This window comes from Homo sapiens, chromosome 2 (genome assembly GCF_000001405.40).
Source record: "Homo sapiens chromosome 2, GRCh38.p14 Primary Assembly".
Classification (NCBI taxonomy): domain Eukaryota; kingdom Metazoa; phylum Chordata; class Mammalia; order Primates; family Hominidae; genus Homo; species Homo sapiens.
In genome coordinates, this window is record NC_000002.12 from 195,210,207 (window position 1) to 195,227,154 (window position 16,948).

The window sequence follows — 16,948 nt, forward strand, 5'->3', positions numbered from 1 at the left end:
ACAGTCACAATGAAATGAAGACTTCAGTATATAAATTTTGGGTGGAGAAATAATTCAACCCATATCACCCCAAAGATATTTGTATGTTATATATATGTATAACTTTCTTCACTTCTTTTTTAATACAAAACTCTTTACTTCTCATTTTTCTGTCTGTATTTGAAGACAACAAAATAACTTCTTTAAATCACTTTACTTTTAAGCATACTTAAGTTTTTAAAATAAATTTTGCTGAAAACAGTGGGTAGTAATAATAATAGCTAACATTTATTGAGACTTGCCAATGGCATAGGCAGAGGCAATGTTCTAAGAGCTTTCAGGTATTAAACATGTTTAATTCTCATGAAAACTCTATTAGGTAGCCAATATTATTTTCATTTTACAGAAAAGAAAACTGTTTCTAAGAGAGTCTAAACAGCTTGTTTGGAAACACATAAGCGGCCAAGTTTTGAAGCTATGCAGCCTGGTTCCAGATCACATACTCCTAATCATACACCTATAATGTACCTATACTATTACAACATTAGATAATAAATACTTTGTCTTGTTTTAAGACTACAAATTTAAAGGATAATTGGAAAAGTTTCTCTTGCCTAGAGAAAAATACAATTTTTTAAGAGAATGTTTCATAACTATGTGTATTACACTTACTGAAATAGTTATATTTGTACTTCCCCGAATCAATGTATACTAAATATGCTTCAAAATAAATCTGAAGAAATATGTCTCCTTAGACATCAAACGATAGGCAATAACTGGATGTATATCTGATGGAAGTATTTTCCCGCATATTCGATTAATATTTTAAATTATGTGCTATGGTTAATTATAACACATCAAAAATAATTGAAAAGTTTTCTTATATTGTACAATTAATAAAATATTACAGACTTGTAAAATCTATAATAAATCATTTTTATTTACAACTCTCAGGCATTGGTGCCATTTACTAATATAATATGCATAACCTACAATTGCTTTTTAGTCTTTAATAGGTTAATCTCTTCTCACAGACAAATTGCAGGCACAAACTCACCTTAGCTGCTTTAGCATACCCACTTTACATTTGATTTGTCTAACTCAAAGGTCTTTACATAACAACAACAAAAAAAATCTACTCATGTAAATTTACTCTTCCAGGTAAAATAGTATAATAACAAACATATGGGTTACATAGACCATACCAGATGGTGTAGGCCTGTGCTCACATAGTTTGTGCAAAGAGAACAAGATAGAGCACAGTGTTGTAAATCTTCATTTGTACTCTGTCTGGAACAGAAGTTTTTATTGTTCCATCAAACTGTCCAATCTATTACTAAGATCTGTCACATTTTCTTTTATAACATTTATTTATAGCGAAAAATTTCTACCAGTTTTCTGTCATTTGAATCACTGCCATGTGATCCTCATGATCTGCCTTAGAAGTAGCCCACAACATTATTGTTTAATTTCTTCTTCAACCACAATTGCTATCCTATCCTAAAATCACACACTTTATTTATAGATACAGGACAACTTTTTCACCCTTGTATTTTCCCATCATAAATGTTGCTGCTTGGATTGTACTAACTAAACAACAGACAAAGCACTTTTAATTGTCATTGGTTCCAGATTGGGAAGTTTTCTGGTCTGTTCTTGGCAAGGGTGGTGACAACAGATGCTAAAAAAGCTGATATTCAGAAGCTGGACATTAGATGCTACAAGGAAAGTGCACTGAGTCTGTATCAGAACAGAATATGATTATCTTGCCATGTACAGGTACCACTCTAACTGTAAGACGAAAGAAAGGTAAACAAAACTCAATAATATCACATTCAAAGAGTCTAAAGATATCTATTTTAAATACATTTAAACATGGATTCATTGATAGAAAAGACTGGTCTCAAGATCTTTTCTTTCAAAAAGGGTATACATGAGGCAGTAATTTAGATAGCTAAATATTAGGTAGGTTAAATTATATGATATTACCATTTTAGTAAGTCAAAAAGATCAAGTATCAGCAGTTTCATAAGGTTTTGCCTAATACTGAGGTTATGAAATACAATGACCCTAATTTTTATTGAGAATAATGAGGACCATCATTATGCAAATAGATGGCAAAAACAGCAAGACACAGTATCTAATGTCACATCATCTAACTCATTCGTCAGGATAAGGTCTCACGCATTACCTTCATTTTCAGCTATTGCTTACGTCTCACAGTTCCCAGAAGACTGTCACAGAGAAGATTAAAAAGTGGCAATATAAATCACAACTTCTCCTATCTAATGCCATAGTTTCCAAACATTACGCTGACAAATGATGAGAGTATTATAAACTCTTCAGCTCAATAATACCACACTCCACAAGTAGTTAGCAAAAATAGGGTGAAACACAACACATTCTGAAACAAATGCCAAGGCTAAAAATACTGCTTCCAAGTCTATAAACTTATTACATGCTATTAGAAAGTGCCAACAGTTTTCCTTTCCCAGTACTTTCATTTTACTTTAAATCGATTGGAATTACCACATTAAATCTGTGCCTTTGAGAGCTCAGCATGGGACTAAGCAGTCAGATTAAACACAGTATGGTCGGCAAACTCACACAATAGAATTATTTGTTCTTGTCATTCTAAGCTCTTCACTTGAATCCCCGTGTATTTAAGGAACACACTGCTTTCAAAGCACTGCATTATGTGCTATGAAGAAAACAAAAATTATAAAACTTTTTCCCTGAAAGAGTTTACATTCTAATTTTAGAGACAAGATATGAATGTTTCTGTGGGTTTTGTTAAATAAATTTACTTTAAATGGCATGTTAAGATAGCAAGTAAGAGAAGTGTCGTGAGGCAGTACATGATTGTCATACGTGTATAGTACAAATGCTAATTAATGTTAGAATTCAGGGAGGGAAAGACCGCTCCAGGAAATACTTGTGCATGAAGTGGGATTTTGTGCTTCTTTTATGGTATCATTGGTGTTTAGATGAGGAAAAAGGGAGAGCAATTGCTTTCAATCTGGATCCTGTGGGCTCGGGCTAGTTTGATCTTGAAAATGAGAGAAAATAGAAAGCCTTTGTGTCTCCCCAAAATTCATATGTGAGAATCCAAACCCTTGAGCATTAGGAGGTAGGACCTTTGGGAACTGATTAGATCACAAAGGCAGAGACCTCATGATGGGGATTAATGCCCTCATAAAAGAGAACAGAGAGAACTGGTTAACCCCTTCCACTATGTAAGGACACAGCAAGAAGTCACCATCTATGAACCAGACAGGGAGCCCTTTCCAGACAATGAATCTTCTGGTGCCTTGATCTTAGACTTCCTAGCCTCTAGGACTGTAAGAAATACATTTTTCTTGTTTATAAACGACGTAGTTTATGTTATTTTATAGTCGACCAAACAGACTGAAACAGTGCTCAAAGAAAATGAATAATTTATTCAAGGTCATAAGATAAAACCTAAAATCTGGAACCTTAAGCCAAGTCTTCCTGCAGAAAGGCCAATGTTTTTTTTTAAAATATCATCCCAATACACTGTTTCCAATTACATTTAGAGATTTACAATTCCCACAGCATACCTTAAAAAATAATGCCAACTTCAACGGGGAAAATACAGTCGTTAGGATATATGTTGATGAGTTGAATCAATCTAATCAATCAGTCAATCAAAGGCACTCCTCCACATTTTCTCCCCGAATACAGATGTCTTTAGTTTCTTATAGGAATCATTCTGTAAAATTCAGTAACTTTGAGTTTTCAGTCCTAAATTAGATAACCATGATGTTTTAAAAGATGAATTACCTAAAAGATGCTGTTAGAATAAGGATTTAAAGAAACATATTGATTTGGCCATGCACGGGTGCGTCTTTAAAAGCTTTAATATTCTTTTGGCTTATTTAGAATAAAGTTTTATATTTACAGACTTCCAAAGTCAGCTCTAGTTATGCCAAAAACTGTAAAATGTCTGAGATTGCATTCTCTTGTTAGCCACTCTGTCACTCTGTCGCAGTTTCATGAATGTTGGTAGAACACCTGAGACTCCTAGAGCAGAGATGAACAGTTTTTCACCCACATCAATAGCAGTAGCCACAGTATCAGCATTTTGGGGCTGGTTACCAAAGCCTCAATTAACACAGAGTAACGTGAAGAGAGCCAACTGACACAAGCCCACGCAACGGGTTGTGTTACAGGAAAGGAACCCGAGCTTAGAGAATCAGGAGCTTTAATGATGGCAGTAATTGTGTTTACCATTTGCTCCAGAGACATTTTTATTGTACTAGATAGTAAGCATGGCTGTACTTTGATCTAAAGAGAGATCCTCTCTGTCTTCCAAGGTACGATGCCAACATCCAGAACAAAGGACAGTCAAAGTTTTGCTTATACGATGTGCAGAACCACTAGAAACCCACGGAAAATTGTCTCCCAACAATCGATCCACACCTGATTCAAGCTGCCTGCTAGATTGTTCCAAAATTTGTTTTATGAGTTGAACTGTTTAGTTAAGAATCTAACTACTTCATATGTTCCTTCGTTGCATGTAATTTTACTGGTAATGTAATTTATGTTATTCTCTCCATGGAATTTCATTGGAAAGAAAAGTCAAACTGCCATGATAAATATGAATTTAATCTGTTTGCTGAAACTATTCCTTCTCAAAAACAGAAACTTGATTCTTTCCTGAAGGTTCAAACCTCACTCAGGTTCTAGGGTAAACACAGTCCCATTTCAGACCTCAAGTGATCCCGTGTTCATTCAACCTTGCTACACACCTTCTTGTTCCCTAAGATGTCGACCTTGATAACTGCACCAGTAGATCTGTTTTTCTCAGTCTGAGATTTTGTTTTGTTCCTCCAGAAACTCCAAGACCTAAGTCCTGGACCTACACCCATCCCAGTCTCTGGGTCATGCTCCAGCTGTGAGAATTTTGTAACTGACTAGTTGCCTCCATTGTCAACACGTTTATCCTACTGCCACTCTCCTTGGTCCTTTGCCCACCCTCTTTTTGGTTAATGTCTTCTGTTTGGGCATTAACCAAATTCCTTTGAATGTTTTTTTAATCACTGATCTGAGATACCAGCTTTCTACTATCACCACACTACCCATTCATTTGTTTATTCAACAAGTAGTTCCTAAAGGACAACTAAGCTTGCAGATCTGAGCCAGGATGTGATTTTGCAATGGAATCCCAAAATACTATAACTGACTGACCCTGATTACCTGACTAGTACCGTCTATTATCTACTGCTGAGGAGATATCAAGCTCCTGCCCTGAGCAGTGTCTGTGCTCTGGGTCTGGCACTAGACCTTAAAAGTCCACTCTGAGAAATATCATTCTTTGTTAGTACCAGATCCTCCCTTAAATTCCCAATTTCTTTCATAATTTTCTGTTTGAAAGACTTTGTTTGTTCTGAACACTTTAATAGCACTGGATGTTGCAACCCTTAGTTAAATTTCTCATAACAGTTTTCTTGTAAAATACTAAATTAGAGAGATCATGATGTCATTTGCCATAGTATGCTCAGTTCACAGTTATTATAAGGTGTTGTCACCTACAAAAATCTAGCATTTGCACCTGTACAATGCAAAAAATTGTTTTCCAATATTAAGGTCTTCTAATATTTTGAAGGTAGATTAAATTTTCATTAAAGCTTCATTCATTCTTATACAATTCCACAAATGGAACTACTTACATATATTCACATCCTCATAAGTCTCCTCTTGTCTACAAAACAGTACTATACAGCTATCTGATTTAAAAACCTTTTGTTTCTTAAAACAGCTTGCCTTCTCAGATTGTATATGTATATATTTAAGAGTGTAAGTTTCTGTGTGTGTGCTCCCTCTGATGTGGGTTTTTATGCTTCACTGCCAAAGTAATACTTACCAATTTCTAATCATCTTTAAAGGAAAAAAAGTTATTTACTTGGAAATATTCACAGTTTAGAAAAATCTGAGCCATAAGTCAAACAAAATGTTGGAGGATTGTAAACCCAATAACATAAAATAAACTCCAAAATGTGTGCGAATATAGTCAATATATATCTAACACAGTGTGGATAATATATACCCTTATTATAACAGGTTATCTGATCTACACAGGTCAATGATTAGAAAAATAAAATCCTCATCACATGAACCACAATTAAAGCTATTTTGTTTACTAGTTACAGAAATTGGCAAAGATCATCATAACCTCATGGTAGTTCAATTCTGCCAGAAAAGCACAAAGCCAAATAATCAGGAAACAATTTCTATTTTAAATCATTCAGGGTGCCAAGACAAAGTACTATAGACTGGGTGGCTTATAGATGGCAGAAATGTATTTCTCACAGTTCTGGAAGCTGGAAGACCAAGATCAGGGCACCAGCATGGTTGCATTCTGGTGAAGGTCCTCTTCCAGGTTTCAGACCGCCATTATCTCACTGTATACTCACATAAAGGAAGAAGGCTAGAGAGCTCTCTGTGGTCTCTTTTGTAAGGACACTAACCGCATTCATGAAGGCTCAACCCTCTTTTATATCCCAAAGGCCCCACATCGTAAAAACATTGATTTATGGTTTCAAAATATAAATTTGGAGGTGGGTAGTGTGAACACAAATATTTAATTCATTGCACATAACACTAACAGCAATTAGTTCCATATTTTCTTTTTTTTTTTTTTGAGACAGGGTCTCACTCTGATACCCAAGCTGCAGCGGCAGAATCATGGCTCACTGCAGCCTTGACCTCCTAGGGTCAAGCGATCTTCCCACCTCAGCCTTCTGAGTGCTGGGACTACAGGCAAGGGCCATGACACCTAACCAAGTCTATTTTTGTATTTTAAGTAGAGACGGGGTTTCACTATGTTACCCAGGCTGGTCTTGAACTCCTGGGCTCAGGGGATCCAGCCACCTAGGACTCCCAAAGTGCTGGGATTACAGGCATGAGCCATGGCACCCGGCCAGTCCCCTTTTCTGTTAAATGGAATGCATCTCTCAGTCTTAAATTTTAACCAGATTAAAAGCATTGCCTGAAATTTATTTCCAAGAAGCTGCAAACCCTTATGATGATGGCCAAGCAAATGAAACATGATTTGTCCTGAATATTCAGTTGCACATGCACAAGAAATCCTTCCTCTGATTACATTTTTGTTACCACTGGACTCCTCCCAACAGAAACCACATTTTATACATAAAAACAGTACTCTTGATTCCTTCAACTATTTTTTCCTCTTTCCTGAATTTTCGTAAACTACCTCAAATCTTTTAAGAAACAATAAAGTATACATAGATGAATGGATGACGCTGAGAACAGATTCATAATAGAATACAGAGATAAATAATACATCAATAGAATGAAGAAAGTAGATTATAGATAGATACATAAATACATAACTATATGAGTGACCCAGCACCATTTAATGAAAATTATGTCCTTCCTCAATTATGTGTCAAACTGCTTCTGTCATATATCAAGTGTCCATGTACAGGTTTGTTTCTGAGCTCTCTCTGGTGCTGCATTGGGTCTACTTGCCTTCCTCTATCTTAATCACTGCAATTTATTATATATGTTGACATCTGGTAAAGCAAGTAATTTCATCATTTACTTCTTTGATATGTGTATTCTCCACTCTTGACCCTTTGCACTTATGTATAAATTTTAGAATCTGCCTTCCAACTTTACCAAACAAAAATTTTATTGAGATTTTGATTGCAATTACATTCAAGCTCTAGATTATTATTAAGTTTTCAATCCATGTTTATGTCATATTTCCCTATAGAGAGCTTTCTAATTTATCTCAGTAATGTTTAATAGTGTTATACATTGGTAGTCCTGCATACTTTTAGATAAATTTGTTCCTAGGCATGTTATAGTTTTTATACTATTTGAATACCTTCTAAATTTTATCTTCTATTTCTTGTTTGTGAAAATCAAATTGATTTTTTAATAATTCACTTTAAATCTAGAAATTTTGCTAGGCTCATTAATTCTAATAATTAATTTGTGGATCCTCTTTGAATTCCTACGTAAATGATCCTGTCTACTAAGAATAACATCAGTTTTGTTTCTTCTTTCCAAACTTTTTGTTCTGTTTTGTTTCTCTCTTGCTCTACTGAACTGGCTAACACTTCCAAAACAATGTTGTTCAGATGTGGTTAAAGATGAAATAATTTTGTAAATTATTCAATATTTTCAACATTCATTATATTATTTATTGTAAGTTTATTGTAGGTATCCAATATCTCCTCCTAGTTTGCTTAGTTTCTTTTTAAAATTCTATTTTTGATAAAAATAGAATTTTTATCAAATGCATTTTCTGCATCTGTTGATACCACTGTATCATTTTTCTTTAATAATCTAATCATGTTGGGGATTTCATTAACTGATTGTCCAAAGTTAATCTATGAATGAGATCCTGGAAGAAATCCAACTTTATCATAATATATTATGCCTCTATAAAGATTGAGATTCTGTTTGCCAACATTTGCTAATATTTTGTTTACAGATTTTTTAATCTTTGTTCATAATGAGATTGACCTATAAATTGTCTTTCTTGTACTGTCCTTACCTGGTTTTGTTATGGAGCTTACTAGTCTTATTATGTAGTCGGGAAATATTCCCAATTTTTCTTTCCTCTTGAATGGCAGAACTTATTAGAAAAGCTAATTTGACCTAGATGGTTTTTTTCAGAAAATGCTGATTACTGATTCAGTTTCCTTAATGATTAATAATTGTTCGTTTCTCTTTCTTTCTAATTTTTGATTAGTTATAATTTTCAAACAATTTTTGATACATTTTCAAATTTATTGATATGTGACCAGTAATGTCCAGTCATTGCTTAGCTTCTCCAATATCCCTAATATTGTACTTTTCTCACAGCAGATGTTGACAATTTGTGTCTTTTCTTTGCTCATTCTCATGAGAAGTTTGTCAGTGTTATTAGTCTTTTTAAAAAACAGACTTTGGTGTTACTCATTCTCTCTATAACTTCTGCCTTATATTTAATATGTTCTCCCTTCCACTTTAATGAACTTAACTTATCATTCTTTTTAAATTTTTTTTTTTTTTTTTGAGATGGAGTTTCGCTCTTGTCACCCAGGCTGGAGTACAATGGCACGATATCAGTTCACTGCAACCTCCACCTCCCGGGTCCAAGCTATTCTCCTGCCTCAGCCTCCCAAGTAGCTGGGATTACAGACATGTACCACCACACCTGGCTAATTTTGTCTTTTTGATAGAGACTGAGTTTTACCATGTTGACCAGGCTGGTCTCAAACTCCAGACCTCAGGTGATCCGCCTGCCTTGGCATCCCAAATTGCTGGGATTGTAGGTGTGAGCCACCACACCAGGCCTTAAATTCTTAAAATGGATGCTTAGTTTAATTTTTGACCATTTTGAATACATACATTTAAAGCTCTGAATATGTCTCTACAAATTGCTTACTTCAAGTTTTGGCATGTAGTACTTTCATTATTGTGTGGATGAAAATATTTCCGATCTTTTATTGCAATTGTTTCTTTAAACTAAAGGTTTTGGCAGTTCCTAATTTATCTTGAATATTCAAAAAAGAATTTGCCTTTGTCATGGGAAAAGAAGAAAATAGAAGGGCTCACCTAACGTACCCTCATATGAATCATATTCAAGCCCTTCCTTTGTCAACTATCTCCCTCTCCAACCTACTGGGAGCTCGGACCAGTGGTATTGTTTAGCTTCCATTTAGCTGCAATAGTAATACTAATTAACTTATTAATTAAACTCATTACTTCACCCTCATTCCTTCTCCTATTTTATCAGCTATATTAAATGTAGAAATAACTGGTCTTACATTAAATCCAGAAGGAGAAGTAAGACACAGATTAACAATAAAAAGATCTGATAAAAATATAATTCCTTTTACTTAATGATAACAAAATGGACATAGAAATTGTATTATTTTAGTTAAGCAATACATTTCTAGTAATAATAACAATGGATATCTGTTAAAATCAAAACTGAAGTCTATTGGACCTCTACCTTACTTTATACACAACAATTAATGTGAGTTTTGATCATCCGTAAATCTAAATGTAAGAGTGAAAACTAAGTCTTATATAATAAAATGTAGGAGAATATATTTGCAACTTTGTGGTTCACAAAGGTTCCTTAGAGAATTCCCAAAATCAATAATCATTAAAGAAAAAGGTGATAAATAAGATTTCACTAACATTAAAAATTTCCACTTATCCAAGTCACCATTAAGGAAATGGAAAGGCAAGCCACACTGGGAGAAAAATATTCATATCTTACAAAGAACTTCACTCCAAAATATTTAAGAGGTATTATAAATCAATAATCAAAAGATTAACACAACTTAATATAATGAGCAAAAGAAGCAGATACTTCACAAAAGAAAAGGTATAGTAATAGCCAGAGAGAAAAATGAAAAGATGTTCAACATTATCAGGAAAAGACAAATTAAAACCAGATAAGACTCTACTTACCACCTAAGGAAATAGTTAAAACTTAAAAGGACTGACAATTATCAATTTTTGGCAAGAAAGTGGAACAAATGAACCTTCTCACACACATTGCTGATAGGGCTATAAAATTTTGCAACCACTTTGAAAGTCTGTTTGGCAATATATTTTAAAATAAAGCACATTACTACCATACAACTCAGCAATACCATTCATAGACATTTACCCAGCAGAAATGAAAATATATGTCAAAGAAAAGACTTGAGTTGAATAATTGTAACAGTTTTATTCATAATAGCCCAAAACAACACAACCCAAATGTTCACAGGAAACAGATAAAATGTTTTATATTCATATGATGAAATATTCTTTAGCAATACCATAAAATAAACTACTGATGCAAGCAACAATATGGGTTAATCTCAAAAGCATTCTGTTTAGAGAAAGAAGCCAAATTGCATACTATATGATTATGTTTATATATTTAATAAAATTCAAGAACAGCCAAAGCTAATCTATAATGATAGAGGTAAAAGATAATGGTGCCCACGGGGGAAGGGCTATGGAATTAACTGGCAAAGAGTATGATAGAACAATCTGGAAAGAGAAAAATGTGCTAAAACTTGACTGATATGTTAGTTACAAGGATGTTGATTATAAAGGTATATAGAATGGCTAACATTCAACAAATTTTATACTCAAGGTTTGTACATTCCACACTGTCAATTTTATCTCCATTTTAAAAATGAAAGTTCAAAAGTATCTTTCCCAATTTGTGTAACTGTCTAAAATAAGTTTTAGAAATGTGACCCAGAACATTACCTTACTAATTACTCCAGTGGATAACAATATACAACCACTGGAATCAAAGGGAGTTGTATTTTAAATCAGGCTTTGGACATGAAGAGACACTTCTCAGAAGAAGACATACATGTGCCCAACAATCATAAGAAAGAAACCTCAACATCACTGATAGAGAAATGCAAACCAAAACCACAATAAGATATCATCTAACACCAGTCATAATGGCTATTATTAAAAATAAAAAATAATAAATGCTGGCAAGGTTGTGGAGAAAAAAGAACACTTATACACTGTTGGTGGGAGTGTAAATTAGTTCAACCATTACAGAAGACAGTGTGGTGACTCCCCAAAGACCTAAAAACAGAAACACAATTCAACCCAATAATCCAATTACTGGGCATATATTCAAAAGAATATAAATCATTCTATTATAAAAAGACATGCATGCATATGTTCATTGCAGCACTATCACAATAGCAAAGACATGGAGTCAACCCAAATGCCCATCAATGATAGACTGGATAAAGAAAACATGGTATATATACACCATGGAATACTATGCAGCCATAAAAAAGAATGAGATCATGTTCTTTTTAGGGAGATGGATGGAGCTGGAGGCCATTATCCTCAGCAAGCTAACGCATGAACAGAAAACCAAACATCACATGTTCTCACTTATAATCGGGAGCTGAATGATGAGAATAAATGAACACATAGAAGGGAACAACACACACTGGGGCTTTTCAAAGGATAGAGGCTGAGAGGACTGAGAGGATCAGGAAAAATAACTAATGGATGCCAGGCTTAATACCTGGGTGTTGAAATAATCTATACAACCAACCCCTGTGACTCACGTTTACCTATGTAACAAACCTGCACATCCTGCACATGTACTCCTGAACATAAAATAAAAGTTAAAAAAAAAAAATCAGGATTTGGCACTTAAAACCCATGTCGACCCAAGCAATACTTTTGTTAAGCCATTTTATTATTGACATATGATTGACATACAGAAAACCGTACATATTTAATGTATACAACTTGACGAGTTTGGAAATAAGAATATATCCATGAAACCATCGCTATAGTCTATGCCATAAACCTATGTATCAACTCCAAAAGTTTCTTCCTGCCCTCTTTGTGTTGTGTATGTGTGTGATAAGAACACTTGACGTAAAATCTACACTCTTAGAAAATCTTAAAATATACATCAAAATATGGTTAACCTCTTAAATAACAATGTTAATGTATCGTTTGTTGTAAATATTAATTAACGGTTAAATTACTAAAAAACTGGGAGGAAAAACCTTACCTATTTTTTTATTGGAGTTTGACCATTATGAAAAGATGACAATGATATGGGTATAGCAGAATCTGCTTTTTTGCCCCCCCTTGGGGTATGGTTTGAATGTCCCCTTAAACCGCAGGTTGAAATGTAATTGTCATTGTGACAGTATTAAGAGGTGGAACCTCTAAGAGGCATTAGGTGATGAGGACTCTGCACTCACAAATGAATTAATGCCATCATCTTGGGTGTGGGATATGAGAGATTCACCCCCTTTTTCTCTCTATCTCTCTCATATGCTCTCTGACCTTGTGATGCCTTCTGCTATGTTATGGTGCAGCAAGAAGGACCTCACCAGTTGTCGCCTCTCAATCTTTGAATCCTAGCTTCCAGAATCATGAACCAAATAAATTTCTTTTATTTATAAATTACTCAGTCTATGTTATTTTGTTATAGGAGCAGAAAACAAACTATACGTTACTAAATTGTTCTTTAGGAATTAAATAGGACTGACTGTACCCTCCAAGCTCTAGCATGAGCACTTGATCAAGACTCACTCAGTAAGAGTAATCAGAAAACTAGTCACAGTAATACATTTGTAGGAGTATTCACATAGCTCAAGATAAAACTAGATACTCAGATTGGCTGGAATTCTTTGGGGAAAGAAACTTTTCTTTTTCTCTTTCCAGAGGTTGCTAAGTTCATCTTTGAAAATATTTGTGATAAACTTTCCTGAGGATAAAATAAATACAGAGGAAAGAATAATTAAGAAATTGGAAAGCATCATTTGGGAACTTGAATCTGTTGTGTCTAGACTTATTTTAATTTCAACCACTTTAAGGTAGCCAACTCTCAATGTCCTGATATGATAGTAAATATGATGCCGTTCACAAATTTAAAAGCAGAATTAAAAAGTAGAAATCACTGTGGCTCATGCCTGTAATCCCAGCACTTAGGGAGGGTGAGGCAGGTGGATCACGTGAGGTCGGGAGTTCGCGACCAACTGACCAACATGGAGAAACCCCATCTATACTAAAATACAAAATTAACCAGGCATGGTTGCCTATAATCCCAGCTACTCGGGAAGCTGAGGCAGGAGAATCGCTTGACCCCGGGAGGCGGAGGTTGCAGTGAGCCAAGATCACGCCATTGCACTCCAGCCAGGACAACAAGAGCAAAACTCCATCTCAAAAAAAAAAAAAAAAAAAAAAGTAGCCATCATATTGTGCTCTACAGTTTACAAAAATGCTTTCATATACATTTAATTTCAATCAATTCTTACAGGCACTTATTAAAGTGATCAACTGGAAGTAAGGTTATCAACAATGGAAGACGAAATGAATGAAATGTAGCGAGAAGACAAGTTTAGAGAAAAAAGAATAAAAGGAAATGAACAAAGCCTCCAAGAAATATGGGACTATGTGAAAAGACCAAATCTATGTCTGATTGGTGTACCTCAAAGTGACAGGGAGAATGGAACCAAGTTGGAAAACACTCTGCAGGATATTATCCAGGAGAACTTCCCCAATCTAGCAAGGCAGGCCAAAATTCAAATCCAGGAAATACAGAACACCACAAAGATACTCCTCGAGAAGAGCAACTCCAAGACACATAATTATCAGATTCACCAAAGTGGAAATGAAGGAAAAAATGTTAAGGGCAGCCAGAGAGAAAGGTCAGGTTACCCAGAAAGGGAAGCCCATCAGACTAACAGCTGATCTCTCGACAGAAACTCTACAAGCCAGAAGAGAGTGAGGGCCAATATTCAACATTCTTAAAGAAAAGAATTTTCAACCCAGAATTTCATATCCAGCCAAACTAAGCTTCATAAGTGAAGGAGAAATAAAATACTTTACAGACAAGCAAATGCTGAGAAACTTTGTCACCACCAGGCCTGCCCTAAAAGAGCTCCTGAAGGAAGCACTAATCATGGAAAGGAATAACCGGTACCAGCCACTGCAAAAAACATGCCAAACTGTAAAGACCATCAAGGCTAGGAAGACACCGCATCAACTAACAAACAAAATAACCAGCTAACATCATAATGACATGATCAAATTTACACATAACAATATTAACCTTAAATGTAAATAGGCTAAATGTTCCAGGTAAAAGACACAGACTGGCAAATTGGATAAAGAGTCAAGACCCATCAGTGTGCTGTATTCAGGAAACCCATCTCACGTACAGAGACACACATAGGCTCAAAATAAAGGGATGGAGGAAGATCTACCAAGCAAATGGAAGACAAAAAAAGGCAGGGGTTGCAATCCTAGTCTCTGATAAAACAGACTTTAAACCAACAAAGATCAAAACAGACAAAGAAGGCCATTATATAACGGTAAAGGGATCAATACAAAAAGAAGAGCTAACTATCCTAAATATATATGCACCCAATACAGAGCACCCAGATTCATAGAGCAAGTCCTGAGTGACCTACAAAGAGACTTAGACTCCCACACAATAATAATGGGAGACTTTAACACCCCACTGTCAACATTAGACAGATCAACGAGACAGAAAGTTAACAAGGATATCCAGGAATTGAACTCAGCTCTGCACCAAGCAGATCTAATAGACATCTACAGAACTCTCCACCACAAATCAACAGAATATACATTTTTTTCAGCACCACACCACACCTATTCCAAAACTGACCCCACACTTGGAAGTAAAGCACTCCTCAGCAAATGTAAAAGAACAGAAATTATAACAAACTGTCTCTCAGACCACAGTGCAATCAAACTAGAACTCAGGATTAAGAATCTCACTCAAAACTGCTAAACTACATGGAAACTGAACAACCTGCTCCTGAATGACTACTGGGTACATAACGAAATGAAGGCAGAAATAAAGATGTTCTTTGAAACCAATGAGAAAAAAGACACAACATACCAGAATCTCTGGGACACATTCAAAGCAGTGCGTAGAGGGAAATTTATAGCACTAAATGCCCACAAGAGAAAGCAGGAAAGATCCAAAATTGACACCCTAACATCACAATTAAAAGAACTAGAAAAGCAAGAAAAAACACATTCAAAAGCTAGCAGAAGGCAAGAAATAACTAAGATCAGAGCAGAACTGAAGGAAATAGAGACATAAAAAACCCTTCAAAAAATTAATGAATCCAGGAGCTGGTTTTTTGAAAAGATCAACAAAATTGATAGACCTCCAGCAAGACTAATAAAGAAAAAAAGAGAGAAGACTCAAATAGACGCGATAAAAAATAACAGAGGGGATATCACCACCAATCCCATAGAAATACAATCTACCATCAGAGAATACTATAAACACCTCTATGCAAATAAACTAGAAAATCTAGAAGAAATGGATAAATTCCTCGACACATACAACCTATCAAGACTAAACCAGGAAGAAGTTGAATCTCTGAATAGACCAATAACAGGCTCTGAAATTGAGGCAATAATTCATAGCTTACCAACCAAAAAAAGTCCAGGACCAGATGGATTCACAGCCGAATTCTACCAGAGGTATAAAGAGGAGCTGGTACCATTCCTTCTGAAACTATTCCAAACAATAGAAAAAGAGGGAATCCTCCCTAACTCATTTTATCAGGCCAGCATCATCCTGATACCAATGCCTGGCAGAGACACAACAAAAAAAGAGAATTTTAGACCAATATCCTTGATGAACATTGATGCAAAAATCCTCAATAAAATACTGGCAAACTGAGTCCAGCAGCACATCAAAAAGCTGATCCACCATTATCAAGTGGGCTTCATCCCTGGGATGCAAGGCTGGTTCAATATATGCAAATCAATAAACATAATCCAGAAAATAAACAGAACCAAGGACAAAAACCACTATGGTTATCTCAATAGATGCAGAAAAGGCCTTTGACAAAATTCAACAACACTTCATGCTAAAAACTCTCAAGAAATTAGGTATTGATGGGACGTATCTCAAAATAACAAGAGCTATCTATTGCAAACCCACAGCCAATAACATACTGAATGGACAAAAACTGGAAGCACTCCCTTTAAAAACTGGCACAACACAGGGATGCCTTCTCTCACCATGCCTACTCCACAGAGTGTCGAAAGTTCTGGTCAGGGCAATCAGGCAGGAGAAGGAAATAAAGGGTAATCAATTAGGAAAAGAGGAAGTCAAATTGTCCCTGTTTGCAGATGACATGATTGCATATCTAGAAAACCGCATTGTCTCAGCCCAAAATCTCCTTAAGCTGATAAGCAACTTCAGCAAAGTCTCAGGATACAAAATCAACGTACAAAAATCACAAGCATTCTTATACACCAATAACAGACAAACAGAGAGCCAAATCATGAGTGAACTCCCATTTAAAATTGCTTCAGAGAGAATAAAATACCTAGGAATCCAACTTACAAGGGATGTAAAGGACCTCTTCAAGGAGAACTACAAACCACTGCTCAATGAAATAAAAGAGGACACAAACAAATG

General features: G+C 35.2%; 1 long non-coding RNA gene across 1 annotated transcript in view, besides 1 other annotated feature; it reads right to left on the reverse strand.

Moving 5' to 3' along the window:
- Window positions 1-16,948, reverse strand: part of LOC105376755 (uncharacterized) — a 673,333-nt gene that overhangs the window by 484,035 nt on the left and 172,350 nt on the right. The window lies entirely within an intron of this gene.
- Window positions 2,285-2,894: an enhancer, noted in NCBI's record as "OCT4-NANOG hESC enhancer chr2:196077215-196077824 (GRCh37/hg19 assembly coordinates)". NCBI's record gives its function as "activates a minimal SCP1, AML or CMV promoter by ChIP-STARR-seq in naive H9 embryonic stem cells {active_cell/tissue: H9 hESC(naive)}" and the evidence as "EXISTENCE:reporter gene assay evidence [ECO:0000049][PMID:30033119]".